Source organism: Homo sapiens, chromosome 14, assembly GCF_000001405.40.
Source record: "Homo sapiens chromosome 14, GRCh38.p14 Primary Assembly".
NCBI classification, from domain to species: Eukaryota; Metazoa; Chordata; class Mammalia; order Primates; family Hominidae; genus Homo; species Homo sapiens.
The window spans coordinates 52,004,351-52,022,063 of NC_000014.9; the positions used below are offsets into that span (position 1 = coordinate 52,004,351).

At 43.8% G+C, this 17,713-nt stretch overlaps 2 protein-coding genes across 5 annotated transcripts in view, besides 2 other annotated features; one reads left to right on the forward strand and one right to left on the reverse strand.

Moving 5' to 3' along the window:
* RTRAF (RNA transcription, translation and transport factor) overlaps positions 1 to 6,344 on the forward strand; it is a 21,149-nt gene extending 14,805 nt beyond the window's left edge. Inside the window, exon 8 of the mRNA NM_016039.3 lies at positions 12 to 6,344. Within this exon, the coding sequence (NP_057123.1) occupies positions 12 to 166 (155 nt within the window). The 3' untranslated portion in view covers positions 167 to 6,344. The remainder of the gene's footprint in view (positions 1 to 11) is intronic.
* NID2 (nidogen 2) overlaps positions 459 to 17,713 on the reverse strand; it is a 64,251-nt gene continuing 46,996 nt past the window's right edge. For all 4 annotated transcript variants that reach the window (XM_005267407.5, NM_007361.4, XM_005267406.5 and 1 more), the window contains 10 exons: positions 15,709 to 15,828; positions 14,711 to 14,944; positions 10,704 to 10,925; positions 9,937 to 10,106; positions 7,204 to 7,333; positions 6,526 to 6,697; positions 3,460 to 3,617; positions 2,187 to 2,310; positions 1,387 to 1,499; positions 459 to 1,146 (listed from right to left, as the gene is read on the reverse strand). In XM_005267407.5, coding sequence (XP_005267464.1) covers positions 1,136 to 1,146; positions 1,387 to 1,499; positions 2,187 to 2,310; positions 3,460 to 3,617; positions 6,526 to 6,697; positions 7,204 to 7,333; positions 9,937 to 10,106; positions 10,704 to 10,925; positions 14,711 to 14,944; positions 15,709 to 15,828 — 1,454 coding nt within the window. In that variant the 3' untranslated portion in view covers positions 459 to 1,135. The remainder of the gene's footprint in view (positions 1,147 to 1,386; positions 1,500 to 2,186; positions 2,311 to 3,459; positions 3,618 to 6,525; positions 6,698 to 7,203; positions 7,334 to 9,936; positions 10,107 to 10,703; positions 10,926 to 14,710; positions 14,945 to 15,708; positions 15,829 to 17,713) is intronic.
* Positions 9,414 to 10,366: an enhancer, noted in NCBI's record as "H3K4me1 hESC enhancer chr14:52480482-52481434 (GRCh37/hg19 assembly coordinates)". NCBI's record gives its function as "activates a minimal SCP1, AML or CMV promoter by ChIP-STARR-seq in naive H9 embryonic stem cells {active_cell/tissue: H9 hESC(naive)}" and the evidence as "EXISTENCE:reporter gene assay evidence [ECO:0000049][PMID:30033119]".
* Positions 16,561 to 16,855: an enhancer, noted in NCBI's record as "tiled region #12958; K562 Activating DNase matched - State 8:EnhW". NCBI's record gives its function as "activates a minimal TATA promoter and a strong SV40 promoter by Sharpr-MPRA in K562 cells {active_cell/tissue: K562}" and the evidence as "EXISTENCE:reporter gene assay evidence [ECO:0000049][PMID:27701403]".

Sequence of the window (17,713 nt, forward strand, 5' to 3'; positions counted from 1 at the left end):
TCATAAAACAGATGCAGTTCTTAATGAAGCTGCTCAAATTCTGCGATTGCTGCACATAGAGGAGCTCAGAGAGCTACAGACAAAAATCAACGAAGCCATAGTAGCTGTTCAGGCAATTATTGCTGATCCAAAGACAGACCACAGACTGGGAAAAGTTGGAAGATGAACACTTGAGGACTTCAGCTTCTCACCTACTTAGTACAGTTGGGAACCATACACTTCTGGCATGTTTGGAAATCAAAATGTCACATTCTCGGGGGAGGAAGCCCAGAAAATTGGGTATGTTCTAGAGATTTACCACCATTGCTTATTGCTTTTTTCTTTAATAAAGTTTAGGAAAGTAGAATTTTTATTATGTACTGTATGTTTGCATAAATCACCTTTCTCCTTTGTGGTTAAGGCATATATGCCAACCCCCAGCTTTGTCCTAGAGACAATATAGATCCTTAAGTCATAGGAAAACTTAAAACACTTTATTGGAGTAATCTAGAAAATTTTAAAATTGTTACATCTTTGGTATTTATAAATGTGATACTTTACTTTCTGTGGGTACTTCTATAGAGGCACTACAGGATCAGAAAATGCAAATTGAATCATTTTAGCACCTTTTGATATAAATAGAAATGCACTGATGCAGAGGTAAAAAATCTTAGAACTTTTGTTGGGAAACTATAAATAATTGGTCCTTTCCCATCAGTTCTGCATTGGCTTCTCCAACTGTCAAGGTTTAGGATTATATTGTTATATTGATCACATGTGCTTTAATTTCTTGGCCAGAAGGAATCCATGGCAAAAATCAGGTTTAGAGTCTTAAACTCTAATTCTTAGTTGAATGAATTTGATCTTTTAAATATTAATGATAAATGTTTACAAGAAGTTGCTTTAATAAGCAACAGTTAAAATTCTGTTACCTTTTTAAACTTGCAATAACAACCTTCATTTTTAAAAATACAGTAGTAAAGATTGAGGTATCAGCTTTTCACAAAAGTCTTTTTGCACTACAAAATGTTCATCTTGGATGCTCAGGAACGTCTAATGGCCAATTCCTTTTTTACTTTCTTTGCCTTTGCAGTCACTGTTCTTTAGGGTCCAGGTTCTGATTGTAAACTCCAAGTCTTCCTTTACATTACTGTACTTACTTTCTTCCTGTGAGAGAAGAGCAGGGGTGGGACAGGGTGGTGGGTGAGTATATTGTAACCAAGTTGCAACAGCAAGTCTTTGCATTTTGTGTATAAACTAGGTAGATTTAAGGTAGTAAAGACTGGCCCTCAGGGCAGGAAGAAGGCAATGGTGGCAGTGTCACAGGCAGCAGGGGTAATCAAATACCATATATATCCCTTCTCTACCCTGCTAATTTAAAGGAGCATCCTAAAGCATACTTTTTACCTGTTGGGCAGTAGGGGTAGACTGCAGTTATCCCGTAGAGGTGAGATCGTTGTTCTGGGAGATACTCATCAGTAAACTGGCCACTATGTTTATTTACTGATACAACACCATCCCTGGTAACAGAAAGGAAGAGTGAATTCAGGGACAGTCATTTACTAGATAAAGAAGTCAGTCAGCCACAGAAAATCAGTTGCAATAGAGGAAAATTTCTGGCAGCCTTCTCTGTCCCAGGGCTGGTGCTAAAGCCATACTGAAGTTTGAAGACCATTGCTCTAAATCCATTGCTCATCTCTAGCTGCATGTTAGAATCACATGATGAGCTATCAAATCAGAGTTGTAGGGCATGGTGTAAAGGGCTTAGACTTTAATGTTCCACAGTTCCTCATTTGAGAACTAGTCTAAATAGTATTTTTCGGTCCCTCAGACAATATGTCCACAGTGTCAAAAGCCAACTTAAGCCCTGTAATATAGCTCATGGTATCAAGGGTAGTCTTATTCTCTAAAGAACATATTTAGATTAATATGCTCCCTTTTGAGACATTATCCAATAGCTTTGCTACTTTTTAAGCTATATGTGAGCAATACCATTCGATTTCTGGGTGAAGTAAAAGGATGATTTCAAAAACATGAAAGGATGAAAAACATCCTTGAAGGATCTTATCTGCCAATGAGGAGGTGATGAAACAAAAGCCTCAGAGGGCTTAATGAGTCAAGTCAGGTACTGACTTTTGGTAAAACAAGTGGTGTGTCCTCTGGAACAGTTGGCCTTTTCAGGCTTGTCCAGAATTTGTGGGGCTCACCTCCTCCAGTCTGTGTGGTAGAAGTGATCTGCATAGCTTACGATGCTGAAGGGGTACTTGAGGTTGTTTTGAATGACACGCCGTCCAGTTCCATCAGGTAGTGTACACTCCAGTTTTTTGGTTCCTTTTAAAACAAAGGGGGAAAATGAGGTCCTTCAGCTGCTTTGCCAAAAATGATAGTGACATAGTGATAGTGACACAGTGATAGAATGGGGAAATAGGATATTTTACTTCCATTACAGTCATAGATTAGCAACTGTAAAATTACCTGTCCTATTACTAGTCTCCAGTTTTTAGTAGAGATTCAAACTTTCAATCCTTTTTTGGAAGACAGGATTGCATTTACTGAAATCTGGTAAGTTTCTGCCAAAGTAGGGCATTAAACATAATTATTTTTATAATTTGTGTGATTTCAAGCCTTAGCTTATAAATTATAACATCTGGGTAAATACTTGCCCTTTGTAAGCTATGTCTATAATTACTGAGGCAACCTTTTAACCAAAATCCTTAGTATTTTTAAAATATTTTCTAGGTAGGAGGAAAAAAGTGACTAAAATGGTAACATAACTCATATTTCAATGTAAAGGAATCAGTCTTAAAAATTTTTACAATAGCTAAACCATTCAAGAATTTCCAAGTTTCACATTTCTCATGGAGCCGATTTAAATTTCAAATCCTTTTAAGAAATGTAACTTGTTTTAAACAACTGGGTTATAAAAGTGACCTATGTACATTAGGCCCTTTTATTAGATTACAAATTCAAGAACAGTCTTTTTCATATTCTTTAGTATAGAACTAGACACACAGCATTTTTTCAGTTGTGCTGATAAAAGCAAACAAATGTAGGTTGCTAATACCCATGTTATTACTGAAGGAAGCTACCCTGCTACAATGCTTTCCAAAGAATGTCCTTAGCATTATAACAGATGTTTATAGGTAAGTTATAGTGACCCTCTCCCCGCATAAGAATAACTTCACTTAAGTTTGTCAATTCAACAATGGCTAATTCTTTTAACTGTTAAAAATATGCCAGGCACTCATGGTCAGGCAAGCAGTACAAACTTACTGCTTGATATATCCTTCCCTCCACCCAAACCCCAGAAAGTTCATTTTAAGACTCATTTACTAGTACTTAAATTTACTAGTACTTAAAAGTTTACAGACCAAAGAAAGGAGATCTAAGTGATGGGATTTCATTTTGTAGTAAAATCTGTTAGTGCTCACATTCACTGTGATGAGAGGTTATCTATTTGCATTCCATCAGTAGTATTACCTGCATCTGCCCAGCAGAGCAGTTTAGAGAAAGGGTCAAAGGTTAAGCCATTGGGCAATCCAATGTCTGTATTGATCAGAATTCTTCTGTTTTCTCCATCTAAAGATGACGTTTCAATTTTAGGAGCTTCTCTATTCCAGTCTGTCCAGTACAAGTTGCTGTAAGTTAAAAATCAAGATTGTAAAAGAATAGCCATGTAGCCTGTGGTAGGCAGCATCTAAGCAGCCCCCAGTGATCTCCATCTCCTCATGTATTATAGCCTTAAGCAATCCCCTTGAGTTTGGGCTGCATTAGTAGTGTCTTGCTTCTTCTAGTGCATAGAGTATAGCAGAAGTGATAGGCTATCACTGCCGATATTCGGTCTCAAAAAACTGGTTTCTGCCTTAGGGGCTCTCTCTTGCTCCCTTTGAGGGAAGCTGGATGCCATGTTGCAAGCTACCCTGTAAAGGGGAACATGTGCCAAGGAACTGATGTCCTTGAGGGCTGTTGGCCAGAGACATTAGTCTTGCCTGTAGCCCATGTGAGCATGCTTGGGCTGTGTCTTCCCCGAGCTGAGCCTTGTGATCACTGCAGTTTGGCCATTACCTGATTGCAGCCTTGTGAGAGACTCCATGCCTGAGGGAGCTCGGTGAAGACACACTTGGATTCCTGACTCACAGAAACTGTGAGACTAAATGTTATCTTACACTGCTGAGGGTTTGGGCAATTTCTTACACAGCAGTAGGTAACTAATACACAGCCATATTCCACTTTTACCTGTATCACAAGGTTTTCTGATTATTGTCACTATGTGGGAGAAGTCATTACTAAGTTACTATCAGAATCCCTGCCTCCAAGATACCCCTTGACTCAACTGCCCCAAAACCCTCCGTTTGTTGAAGTCTTGAATTGGATCTTGGGTTTTAGAATAGAAACAAATACAGCTGTTAGGAATGGCTTCGATACAAACTATGGAACTTGAAGAGATGTGGACCAGGGATTTGAGAAGGAAACTGTTCTTTCTTCTGCCAAAAATACAATTTGGTACTTGAAGGGGTACCTGGCACCCAGGGATGGAAACATTTTAAGTTAAGCACTTTACCTTTTAAATGCCACGTTAAAAATGAAATATATTCATAACAGATACTAACGAGGAAATATGGTCCTATTAAGTGGAAATAGGTTATAAGGAAACAAACAGGTTTATCGTTAGAGCAGAAATAATGTTGAAAGCACTTTTTATAAAATACTATTTTATAAAAGCTATAGAAGCTTTGAATAAATCAGTTGGGCTACAGAGAACCTCAGTGAGAGGAGAGGAAGAAACCATAGGTTTCCCCTGTTGCGAATTTCATCCCTTATGCCCAACAGATGAAGCAGAGAGAAGCTGAGAGCAAAAGCTAGAAAGCAGTTTCCACTTTGCGCTAAGGTGGAGGTGGCCAGAGGGTACAGCATGCATATCATTGCTTCATCGCTTCTGATCAGTCTCCTCCCCAAAATGATTTAATATCATCAACAACAATAAGTCTGAAACAAGCTCACACAGATATTTGGTGTAAATTATTTGGGGATTGCCAGAGGAAGAAAGTTGTAAAGGTGAAATCTATAGAAAGCAAATGAGAAATATGCAGGAAGGCTTGACAACCATTCTGTTACGCAGTTGAAGGAGATGTAATTACATGTGTTATATTGCAACCTGGTTCAAGGTGGGTTTTCTTTTTATTAAAAATTCAAGTCCTTTAGCATTTATATTTGCTGTCTGGATAAGAAAGTTCTACTTTCATATTTAAACTCATGGCTGTGATGTGGATTTCAGCTTAAAAGTATGCTTTTTCCCCAGACTCCAGAGACATGGCCAAAGTTTCATTGCCTACAAGATGGCAGCTCTCCCCAGTTTTCAGGTCAAGCACCAAGAAGGAATAAGGGGCCGGGCGCAGTGGCTCATACCTATAATCCCAGCACTTTGGGAGGCCAAGGCAGGTGGATCACCCAGGGTCAGGAGTTGGAGACCAAAATGGCGAAACCCTGTCTCGACTAAAAATACAAAAATTAGCTGGGCATGGTGGCACATGCCTGTAGTCCCAGCTACTTGGGAGGCTGAGGCAGGAGAATTGCTTGAACCCGGGAGATGGAGGTTGTAGTCAGCCGAGACTGTGCCACTGCACCCCAGCCTCGGCAACAAAGCAAGACCTTGTCTCAAAAAAAAGAAAAAAAAAAGAAAAAAGGACCTTCCAAATGTCCAAATGTCAGAAAGGCAAGCCTATGCAAAGAGTTTTTAAGAGGGCTATTAATTCCTGTTAAGTCAACTGGAATAGAGAAGGATACAGGTACTTTTCCTGTGTGTAGAACCCAAAGTTTGAAACCACCTTTGAGGCACTGCACTAAGTATTTCATAGTCAAAAAGCACTTACCTGAAAATTAAAGCTGAAGGTTTTCTTTACTGATTTGAAGGGCATCTGGGAATTTCATTTCGTAGAAACTCCACTTAAACATGGCAAGAGTTTCTCAAGATATAAAAATTCTCCCTGATTGTAACAAGTACTGAGACAGTGAACAAATCCTGTATGTCACATTTGATGACCTTAGCAATTATACAGACAGGGAAAATGTTTATCTTGATTTCTGCTACAGCAACACTGAAGCCAGAGGTGTCTGAGCTTTGGCTAATGTCACTTGATGTAGGTCAGCCCTACTGTGAGCGTCAACCCTGGTTTCTAAATGTGCTGCTGGAGGAATCCCACTTCACTTCCAGTTTAAGTGTCAGCTGAGGCCTCGCCTGATCATTTGATTCAGAGTAGCCCTAGTTCTCACAACACTATCTGAATTTTCTACATATCACATCACAGACTAATATTGTTTATACCAGTCTTGTTTCCTCCTAATAAAATATAAGTGCCATGAAAGAACAGACCTTGTCTTTTCCTAGAACAGGTCCTGACACCTCTTAGATCCTCAGTAAATCTTTGTTACATGAATGCATTTGAGCTTTCACTCTCTTGTTCTGACCTTCCCCACATTGTATTTAAAACCCAAGGGCTTCACATCAGGATCTACAGGTAAGAGAAGAATTAGGGAAGCCCAGCTGACCCTCGGATTGGATCCACAGCGATGGCACGGGGATTCACCAGATCTGTGTAGAAGAGGACCTTGCGCTCAGAGCCATCCAGCAGGGCGCTCTCTATCTTATCCAGGACACTGTCCGTCCAGTACATTGTTCTGCGGATGTGGTCTATGGCAAGTCCTTCAGGGCTTATCAGACCTGGAAATAAAGCAAAGTCAGGACTGGAGTGTTTGCAGGATATGGAGGGCAAACCTGAAGCCCTCCAACGGTCGGGTGGGCAGGGGGGTCAGCAGGGGAAAGCAAAGCCCAAGTGTCTCCAAGTCCCCAAGAACCAGGTTAATAGAGAAACAAGTACTTTTGTTACATATTCCACTACCTCTAGCTTCTAGACCAGCAGACCTACCAGTTTGATGACAACCGGCATCCACAGTGCCAGAGCCAGGCTGAATAAACGAAGGCGTCACCCTGAATTCTTACCATGAATTCTTTTAAGAAGTGCGCACAGTAGGAATCACCTATTTCATTCCGTATGTATGAAGGTGTTTGCTTACAGAGGGGGCTAGTCTTATACAGCTCAATAAAATGACTTGCCTAGAACTTAACCTCCCCTAATGGAGAAAAATCGAGGGGAGACTTCGGCGTAAAGTAGACAAGTGACTTTGTAGAATCAAATGAAATGCAGACTGCTGAGTGAAGCTGCTGACCTGAATTCACGATCGTCTCAGGCTCTGCTCCCAGTTCCAGACCAGCACGGCTGATTGTCCGTCCAGCAACATCTGTCCAGTACACCATCCTCTCCCGGCAGTCGTAATCAATTCCCACGATTATGGAGCCCTTTGTGCATCAAATCATAGAATTAGAAGAATTAGGTTACATTTCCCCTTTGTTCACACTCAGCTGCCTTGCTCATGCACAGCTGCAGTGAGCAACACTGCACTGTGATCCTGCAGGCAACAGAGCAGAGTAGCTGGACATGTGGGCACTCGGGTGAAATCTAGGCTCAGCCACTTAGTAGCCATGTGGCTTTGGGCATTTAACCTCTATGCGTTTGTCTCATTTGCAAAATGAGGCCAATAGTGTACCTGCCTCATATGGTTGCTATAAAAATTAATACTATAAGTGCTTGTAAAGTGTCCTAATCAGTAATTGGCATACAGTAAGCCCTTCAATAGGTGCTATTATGACTGATGATTTAAAAAAAAAAAAAAATCAGCCCCTTCAGTAATTAGAGGACATGGCCTTAAGCAAAATAAGTTTTTAATATTTTACTGGGTAAAAACTGAATCTTTTCCCAATGTCATCAGCACTTTTCCCAGAGCCTTAATAAAATTTGCCACTATATGCCAACAAAATCTACTCTCCCCTCCTCTGTGAATGAGATCTTTCCTCTACCTGAAGTACAATCACCTATACTCCTGCCCCTGACTCTTAGGAGGCAAGATGTTGGTTATATCCTGTACTAAAGAAAGTGTAGTCAGGCACAGTGACTCACGCCTGTAATCCCTGTCCGTTGGGAGGCCAAAGCAGGAGGATTGCTTGAGCCCAGGAGTTCGAGACTGAGCAACATAGTGAGACCCCGTCTAAAAAACAAAAAATAAATGAACTGGGCATGGTGGCACGCACCTGTAGTCCCAGCTACTCAGGAGACCGAGTTGGGAGGATCGCTTGAGCCCAGGAAGTCAAGGCTGCACCAAGCCGAGATGGTGCCACTGCACTGCAGCCTGGGCAACACAGAGCTACACCCTGTCTCAAAAGAAGGAAAAAATCTAATTTATTGGGTTAAGGAACTAGGGAGTAGTGGTTATCCAACCTCTGGCTAGTGAGGTCTCTCCTCCTCATTGCTAAATAAATGACAAGTCTTTTAAAAAAATAATAAAAATAAAAAAAATGCTGAGTCTGATATTTTTCCTCAACTCCATGCAGAACTTGCTTCATTCAGTTTCCAATCCAGGCTCCTGCTCTGAGAAGCCCAGCAGATGTGCAAAGCCAACATTCAGGGGTTAGCTGGCTGTCCCTGAGGTCATACAAGTTCCTGCCTTGCCTAACAGCCTCCTGGGGCTTGGCTTCACTTACGCCCCCTGGGAGCGTAGTCAGCCAAGAAAGATTGTACAAAACGGGATTTGGCTTCAGTGGAAAAACAGGCAGCTTATATGGGGGGCGGGCCTAAGGTCAACTACACTTTTATTTGAAAATTGAAAAGTCGTTTGTCCCAGGCAAGAGTACACATTCAAATGAGCTTCCATTAACCCGGGAATCATGGGATTCATAAACCCATGTCATAACCTCAGGTTAGAGAAAAAGTCCCAGTTTAAGTAAATTTCCTTAAAATGTGCAAATAACCCACGTCCCATTTCTTTCAGTTCCACTACCACTACCATCACCACCCTGTCCTGGTCAGGGGCATGTTCAGAAAGGCAATCAAGCTCTATGACTTGAATAAAAGAGGGTTAGCTTAAAGTGATGTCAACTTCTTAGTCTCTACCTCTTCCAGAGAAAGTTTTACAAAACAATGTGAGAGTTTTCTTGGGGGAGGGGACAGGACCCAACAAACTCGAATCTTAAAAAGAACACATCTCTTCCTAAACACTGGCTGCCTCTAAGCTTTTCTGGAACCAAATAAGTGTCGTTCATTAACAGAAGTAAATGTAAACTTGAATGCCGTACTATTCTTTCTCAGGGATGAGCAAGTGCCTGGAGTGTGAAGTTCAACAATGGAATCAGATGATTTTCCACTGTGTCGATGCCATTCGAGACAGCCACCCTTTTTTTTCCTCCATTTTTGAGAAAACCCGCTCCCCAAAATGGGGTGCCTTGCATTAGGGAGGCTGCTGGCTCAGGAAGCATCAAACATCCCCTGGGGAAGGCTCCATCCACTCCTCTCCCAGCATCACACACTCCTCAAGTTTTCATCTATGGAGTCAGGGAAGGTTAGGAAAGAAGTGGGTCAAAGGGACAGAACCAAAGTGAAAGGGAAGGGCTGCAACGGTGAGACAGTCATTAACTGACTTCCACTTGGAGTCCCCAACAAACCGCAGAGATCACACCTTGTGACTAGTTGTCCTGTCACTTTGATTTCCAGGATTTCCATGGAGATGTTATGACATACAACCCTGGGGACTTAGGGTAAGAGTCGGTCCATTTTCCCTTGGATCACCATACAGCCTCCATGTGCTGACAACTCTAAAGTTCCCTTTCCATATTATCTGAAACTCCATGAACGAACCAGAGAGCACAGCCTTGGTCAGTGACAGGTGACTCCCAGCAAGAGAGAGCCCTGGTCCTATGGTGGTGGCATCGGGCCCATGCCGATGGGCTGCAGCTCAGAAACCCTCCAGGACTTCCCTGCACCAGTCCACCTCACTGCAACAGGGCCTGTGAGGTGGCTCCCACTGGGAAAGCCACGCAGCCCTGCCCCCTACAGGAGAAATCCACTTTACATGCAGAGACAGCAGGGTCTTAGCTGCATCCTTCTGAAGCCTGGTGCCATTGAGGGGTAAGTAGCCAATCTGCTGGCCCTGAGTATAGAGCAGGAAGGTGCCCACAGATGGAGGGGTCACATCTGGCCGGGGCGTGGGCCGGACCATGGGTGGAGCGACGGTGGGTATACCTGTGGGAGAGAGGGTGGGAGAGCAGGAAGGGGAACAAGGGCAGGCAGGGAGATGGGAAGAAAAGTTACTTTACCACATACCAGAGCCTCCAAAAATATCAAAAGTTCTTCGCCCTACGCAGATGTGCTCCAGATGTTCTTCAAAAGAAATTCTAATTTCTAGGGTTTTTTTAAGGATCAATTATGTAAATCTGCCATTTACTAGGGAAGAAGACAGCAAAACACTTCCCTCAGAACAAAGCAGAACAGATTTTTTTTTCAAGAGAAAAAAAAAACAGAGCCAGCATTGTGTCAGCTTCCTTTTAGGACTCCAGAGTGACACGTGTCCCCTGTCACCCTGGGCTGGGGAGGGGGAGTAACTGCCTGCTGAACCGAGTTGCAGATGTTCCAATTATGGAAGCTGCTAATGACAAAAACCAGACACCAAACGCAAATTGGGATCTTGTGTGGACCAGATTATAAATCAACATAGCACATAGTGACTTCTTTCATTAGACCTGGTGACCCCACATGTCCCCCCACTTCACCACAGCAGGCACCATCCCTAGCAAAGGCCTTAGATACAGCTGAGGGGAGCGGGGGCGGCCAGGTGCTTACACGCAGGGGTGGTGCCTGGCTGGGAGCGGGTGCCCTGCACCTCTCTGCCATCTTTGTCCACACACCAGCAGAAGTCGCTCTTTCCGTGGCACTGCAGGGGGATGAAGTGGCCCAGGTCATCGCACTGGGGCACGTACTGGTCATCCCGGGGGGTGCCACCGTAGTGCTCCAGCAGGTTTTCCCTCCAGCGCTCACAGATGGTCGGGGGCCTCTGGGTGGGCTCTGAGCAGATGGGGAAGAGGGAAGAAGAAAAACCTTTGATTGTGAGTCAAGGACAGAATGCAAAATGTAGCTCAAGACCCCATGCCTGGCCTCCTGGCCTTCCTTCTCCTACTGTCCAGGTCTCAGCCAAGCCCGTGGACACCAAACTTGGGAAGCAAATGTGTTCTAAGTACTTCTCCACCATGGGAATCAGAAATAGATCATGTGATGCTTCTTTCTTGCCAGGAGGGTCTGTCATCAAGGCCCAGCCACATCAAGAAAGAACAAGAGGAGGTAAGATCAGCAGTGCAGCTCACTCAGCCTGGGAAGGGGCATGATCTCCTTCTGGCCAGGAGAGGCCCACAAGGCCCATCCTGCCTGTACCTCGGGCGCCTCTGCTGACAGAGCACTTGTGCAGGTGATCCTTGGGGACTCAGTAGCCGAGGTGATGCTTAAAGCCAATTTGTATTCATTCCCCACTTGCTTCAAGCTTCAAGCTCGAAGCTGCTGAGGAGAGGGCCATCTTGCGACTGGCCAGTGTGTGTCTTAGAAAGTATTACTGAAAGCCCAGCGCCACGGTGCCCTCTGTCTACCCACTGGAAAACTACATGGAGTAAAGGTAAAACTGAGTGGAATTAGTAGTAAAGCATAGCAGAGGTGGTGGCAAACAGCTTAAAAATGGTTCTTCCACAGCCCAGTTTCCAGAATTGCTTTAGCCACCCTGCGCCTGGGATTATCTCAAAGCTGAATCTTTTCCTGCAGGCTCTAGCTTCCTGCCGTGTTGCCCTTTCCCCCCCTTTCTCCAGCATCCTCTCCTCTTGTCCCCTCCCTCACAGCTCACTCCATGGTTGAAGTCCTGCTGGCTTTGGTTGCAAAGCAGTTTCCTCCCAGGCTGCTTCCACAGTGCCATTGAGGCTTTGTCCAAAATACAGGTTGTTCTGAGAAGACTCTGCTGCAGAAGGTTATTGAGATAACTTGTTCATTTATGTTAGGACTACCCAAAGGAACTTAAACAAGAGGAGGTGCTTCTCCTTCCTTTTTAATTCCTGCAACTTAAAGCACATGGTCTGCAGAATCACATAGCCAATAACCCTACTTGCTACCACCATTTAGATGTATAATAGAAATCAGAAACTAATAGAAACTGAGCCCCTGCCTTCACCATCAAACCAGCTGCTCCCCTGGTCTTTCCCATATGAGTAAATGGCACCTCCATTTTTCCACTGCTCAGACCTAATTATCCTTGACCCTCCTTTCTCTCACCATCCACATTTGATATGTCAAAAACTCTTTTTAGGGGTAACTTCAGAATCCACTTAGAATATCTTTACTTCTCACTACTGCACCCCCTCACCCTGGTCAAAAAGCCTCATCCTCTCCCTGCAATTTCTGCAACAGCCTTCCCACTGGTTTTCCTGCTTCCACCCTTCTATGCCCTCACTCTCTCCAAAACCAGTGTAAATTCAATTAGCAGCAGCCAGAATGGCCCATTTTAAACATAAAGGCATTTCATGTCACTCCGTTCAAAACCCTCCAGTGACTCTAAAGAACAAAGCTGGGAGCATTATGATCAGGTTCCAGCACCTACAATTCCTCTTGGAACACAAAAGACTGCGAATGAAGTTGTCAGAGCTCAAACCCAACTAGCTCTAGCTCAACTGCACGACTCACCAGAATTGGGGGAAGCGAATGCCGTTAAGTTGTCACTGTAGCTCATGACCCATGGGAGACAAAGCTCTTTTTAAGACCCCGTGGAGAAGGTAAGACTCTGACTTCTTCAGCCAAATGTGTCTCAAGGAACACAGAGAGGGAAATGCTACTTCCTCAAACACTGCAGGATTTCCTGGAGAAGTTCCCAATTCCACCCCTGCTCCACATTCAGAACTCCAAGGATCCATTTTTGCTTTAAGGGACCACCCTGTGCTATGTGTCTGCATTCCAAACAAAGAGACATGCCTAACTCCTGGGAAATGGGTGTCCCAAATCACTCATACATGGGCATCCCTTTCATTCGTTACTATTTGCTACTTTTCAACCCAACCATGAATTTCTTTCTCTTGTGCTTCTGGTTGGCAAGGGTTTAAGTATTTTGAAATTGTGGGCACAGAGCGTCCTTACCCTCCCTCAAGCTGACCCCATCAAACATGAGACCAGTCAGAGATAGCAGTTGGGGCCAAACCAGCGCCGAGAGAGTGTGGGCAGGAAAAAGTCCGCACAAGAGAACACGACCCTATTTTCGTCATTCACTTCTCAGTCTCTTGGTTCCCCCCCCTTTAAAATCTTGGTTCCCCCTTTAAAATCATTGTCCTTAACACATGCCTGTCTTAATAAATTTAATCGAATTCTGAACCATTCCCCAAAGGCACCTCCCAACCATTTGATTTCTTCAAATCCCAGATGGAGTTAGAACCAAGACATTTTCAAAGAGAAGGCATGAGGGAAATAGAATTTCTCTGTACCTTTTTTGGACCTTTAAAATCTTTTCCTAAAAATAGAAACAAAGAGCGACTATGGATCAAACCATTACCAATTTTTACCTATCTGAGAACCGCCAAGACCTGACCTTTTTTTAAAAAAACAAAAAAAACAGAGTCTCACTCTGTTGCCAGGCTGGAGGGCAGTGGCATGATCTTGGCCTACTGCAACCTCTGCCTCCTGGGTTCAAGTGATTCTCCTGCCTCAGCCTCCCGAGGAGCTGGGACTACAGGTGCGTGCCACCACGCCCAGCTAATTTTTGTATTTTTAGTAGAGACGGGGTTTCACTATGTTGGCCAGGATGGTCTCAATCTCTTGACCTCGTGATCCACCCGCCTCGGCCTCCCAAAGTGCTGGGATTACAGGCATGAGCCACCATACCCGGGCAACAGTTAACACCATTAAAAGGGAAAAAAACTATTGGTAATTCTCCAGTTCTTCTTACTTTCACACATTAAAAGCCAAGACTAGTATTTATGGAACCCTTCTCAATAGTAAAAATGGATCTTTGGATAGCAAGCTGTGTCGGAATCATTTTGGCTAAAACGGTATCAAGCCAATCCTATGCTCTTCATTAAATAAAGTTCTTCTGTAATGATTAAAGAAACAAGTTTTACCTATCCCTGAATAATTCAACAAGGAACAGAAAGTTGCCTTATCTGCCTGCTGTTGGAATCGACTGTGAGCACTTGATCACCATGCCCCACCCAGCTGGGGAATGCTCTAGATGGTAGCAGGCATGTTCTCAGGTTGTATGGGCTAACAGAAACCAGATGTCTGTGCCTCCTCTGAGATGTTGGGCTGGGTTACAGAGGGCTGGGATTGTCAGTTTAGAGAAAACTAACTGGCTCCACTAGCAGGTGTTATTTTTCTAATTTTTCCTATTGATACTAACAGAGCGTTCATACTGTTTCCTGCCATTCAGAAGGCAGAGGTAAGTGAGATAGTTACATAGGAAAGCAGTTTTCCTTCTGGTCAAAACGCCAGTCTGGCCAGATCTTCTAACTGTCAGATCTCCCTAAGCTGCTCTATAACAGGTCTAGGGTAGTGTTCTCAGTCTGACCTACATACACAATCTCAACTTTCAGTTTGTACTGGACAAGGGTCTAAGAGGCAAATGTGTAACAGATCATATGTGTCATGTATTGCATATCTCTATGTCCTTATGACACAAACATGCATATTTGTACGCACTATTATTCAAGTCTTCTCAGGAGGAAAGAGGCTATGAAGGATGGTGACTGGCCCCGTGCCTGCGTGGTCTGGGCAGGAATTATGATCTACCTACCACCAGTGCCATTCTGCTTCTTGAGCCCCAGGCCTAAGCTCACCTGGTGATGGTCCACAGTGAGGCGGGGTGGAGCCAGGTGGAGTCTGGGTACCAGGAACTTCATGACCATCAGGGTCCACGCACCAGCAGAAACCAGTGCTGCCATGACACTGTAGGGGCAGGAAGTTGCCCTGCTCGTCGCATTGGGGGATGTGGAACCGGGCCCCAGGGTAGGCATACTGGGCCTGGGCATGGCGCTGCTGTTGTTCACAGGGTGTCAGGCTTGAGGTGGAGTCTTCCAGGATCAAGGCAGAGGAAGACACAAAAGAGAAATAGAAGGCATTGCAACCCATCCACTTCACCAGCCCACAGCGTGGCATGGAAAAGCGCTGGGATTTTGGAGCCCGAGATTCTTATTTTATAATACCTTGCCACTATTTACCTCATTTCTCTCCAGTTCTTCTAGTTCATCCTATAGGTCCCTAGCTGGCTCTAAGTGTAAAGCAGCCCGGCCCCTCCCTATTGTCATCTGGGGAAAATGAGGGATAGCGGTGGCATCTGCCCAACATCCCAAGAGACTCTGGAGAAAACAAGCCAAAGCTCATTCATGCCCTGAGGCCCACAGGTTAAGTCTGAGAAGCTGCAAGCCAACGGCACTCACCACTCACGAGACTGCACCAAGCTAGCCAAGCTCCTCTAACACGGTCGCCACGGGCTTAACCCTGGCTACCGGCGCATAAGGCTCTGCTTAATAAGCTTGATCTCAACACTTCATCCAAATTGCACTCATCAAGGTCAAGCAGATCACTAGGGCAGTTAACCAGAGGGGCTATGAGGTAGGACGATGGGTGGGTCGTCTCCCGCAGGCCTCCAGAAATGTTACGAATCAGTGAACTATCAGTAAACTAGGCAGCAGGAGGTAACCAAGGAAAAAAATCCACAGCTTGGAAAATCCACCAAGGCTCCAGACCAGGCTAAATCAAGAGTGGGCTGTCATAGAAAAATATCCTTGAAGGAGCTAAGAGATTCATGTGCCTAATCTGGCCCTCTGAAACTTACCAGGTATGCACTGAAATCCATCCCCATAATATCCGGGTTGACAACGGCAGGAGAAGGAACCAGGAGTATTGTAGCAGGTAGCTGCAGGGTGACATCTGTTTTCTGAGCATTCATCTACATCTGCAGAGGTCAGAAACAGAAGAAAGAAGCAAAGAACACTATGACTTCACTCACACAATCTGTGCGACTGCATGGGCTTTGGATATGTGGATCAACACCCAGTGAGGTGTCAGCTTCAGAAGACCTTTGAGCATGAGCAGAAAAATGCTGACACCTAAAGGTAAGCTTAATAGAAAGGAAGAAAAAAAATCAAGGAACATGTGAGTTAACACACTAGACTAAACGTGTTCAGTGTAGAAATCAAATGGGTAGTCGCTCACAGAAAAAAACAACACATCTTACAGCATGTTTCATTGACAGTGAATTCAAGGAAGTTATTACCTTTGAACTAACCTTTAGACTATAAGTCATTAACTTCCTTTCAGCAATGCTGCAATAAAGACAAATATATCCAACAATGGTTTTTTTTTCTTTCGTTGTTGGCACCATCTCCCTGTAACATTCGTCTGTAGATGCAAAGGAGCCAGATGAGGCCCAAATATTTTTCAGCTAAGAAGCACATTCTGTCTTGACTAATTAGAATCTTACTATCTAGAACCACACCCCCATTAACCAGGTATTTTCTTTACTTTCCACTTTTAGAAGAAATAAGAAAAAAATATTATCTAGGGTTTTGAAATAATACTTACAAAATGGAAATCTAAATTTGCCAGGCATATCAGTACAAACAATTCAGGCCCCTACACTCTCCACATAGCACCATGAGGATTAATTTTCACCATCATATTTCTCAAAACAACAAAATCCTGACACTTCAAACAAAAGCCAACTTACATTCCTTTTATTTAATGAAATCCGCATATGCCGACAATAGCAAGTCACCCACCCCTCCCATCCCCAGCAGAAAAAAAGCAGCTCTGAGAATTGAATGGTTAAAACTAACGCCCAAGGGATGAGATAAGCTACTTTAAGAGACAGGAAGTCTTTCAGAGTAAAAGGAGGATAAACAAAGGGTGTAGGTCCGATTAAGGCTTGGCTGAAAATAAAACAAAGCAGTAGTTCCATCCATAGTAATAACCAAGTTTCTTTAAAATGTGTGAATAGAAAAAAAAAAAATGTGGGATGGTGTGATCAGTGTGAAACCTAGAAAATGAGAATGTGTTGCATCAATACGGTGCAGCCCATGGTAGAGACACATCAGCATGGGAAGACAGATATTTGAAGCCCTAAATTTGATGTGAATGGGTTGGGAACAGGGCTAGCTCCTCACCCAGGCTCCCATGACCCACATGGAACCTCTTCTAGAGTTACCTGCACCACCCTTTGTCCAGACCACACTGTCACTGGGTCATCCTCTAATAACTAATGTGCTTTCTCGAATACCATTAAGTACACACACTGGGCATTAAGCGTAGGTGTTCTGTTCCCTAGAGAGGAATCTCTTATGTTATAATTAGAAGGTAAGTATTCTGCTTATCTTCTGTCTCTGGGGAGTTTAGTCAGCATATATCAGTTCCTAGGAGTCCTCCCCCAAAAATTCTGAACTCAATGCAACCCATAGAGTCTCCACCCAGGTGAGTGGTTGGCCTCCCTGGATACCATCATTTCGCCTATAAAGGCAAGAAAGCAGATATCAATTCATCTGCAAGGGTAGAAACAAACCAGATTGGCTCCTCAGTTACCCTGAAATCAACCAATGTTGTCATAATTATCCCTGAGCTTGGCTCTGCCTCTTCAACAGGACAATTCAAATGCCCAGCTGGGCAAAACTGGTGACCATCCAATACCTTGGACCTGGAATAGGCTGTAAAACTGGCTGTAAAACTAAACCTGTAAAAATTAACATTCAGCCGAATGCAGGAAATTAAAGCTATTCACAATACGCATGCTAAAAGTACTTCTAATGGTAACAGGAACCCCAAGCAATGACAGGAAGCAGGAATTC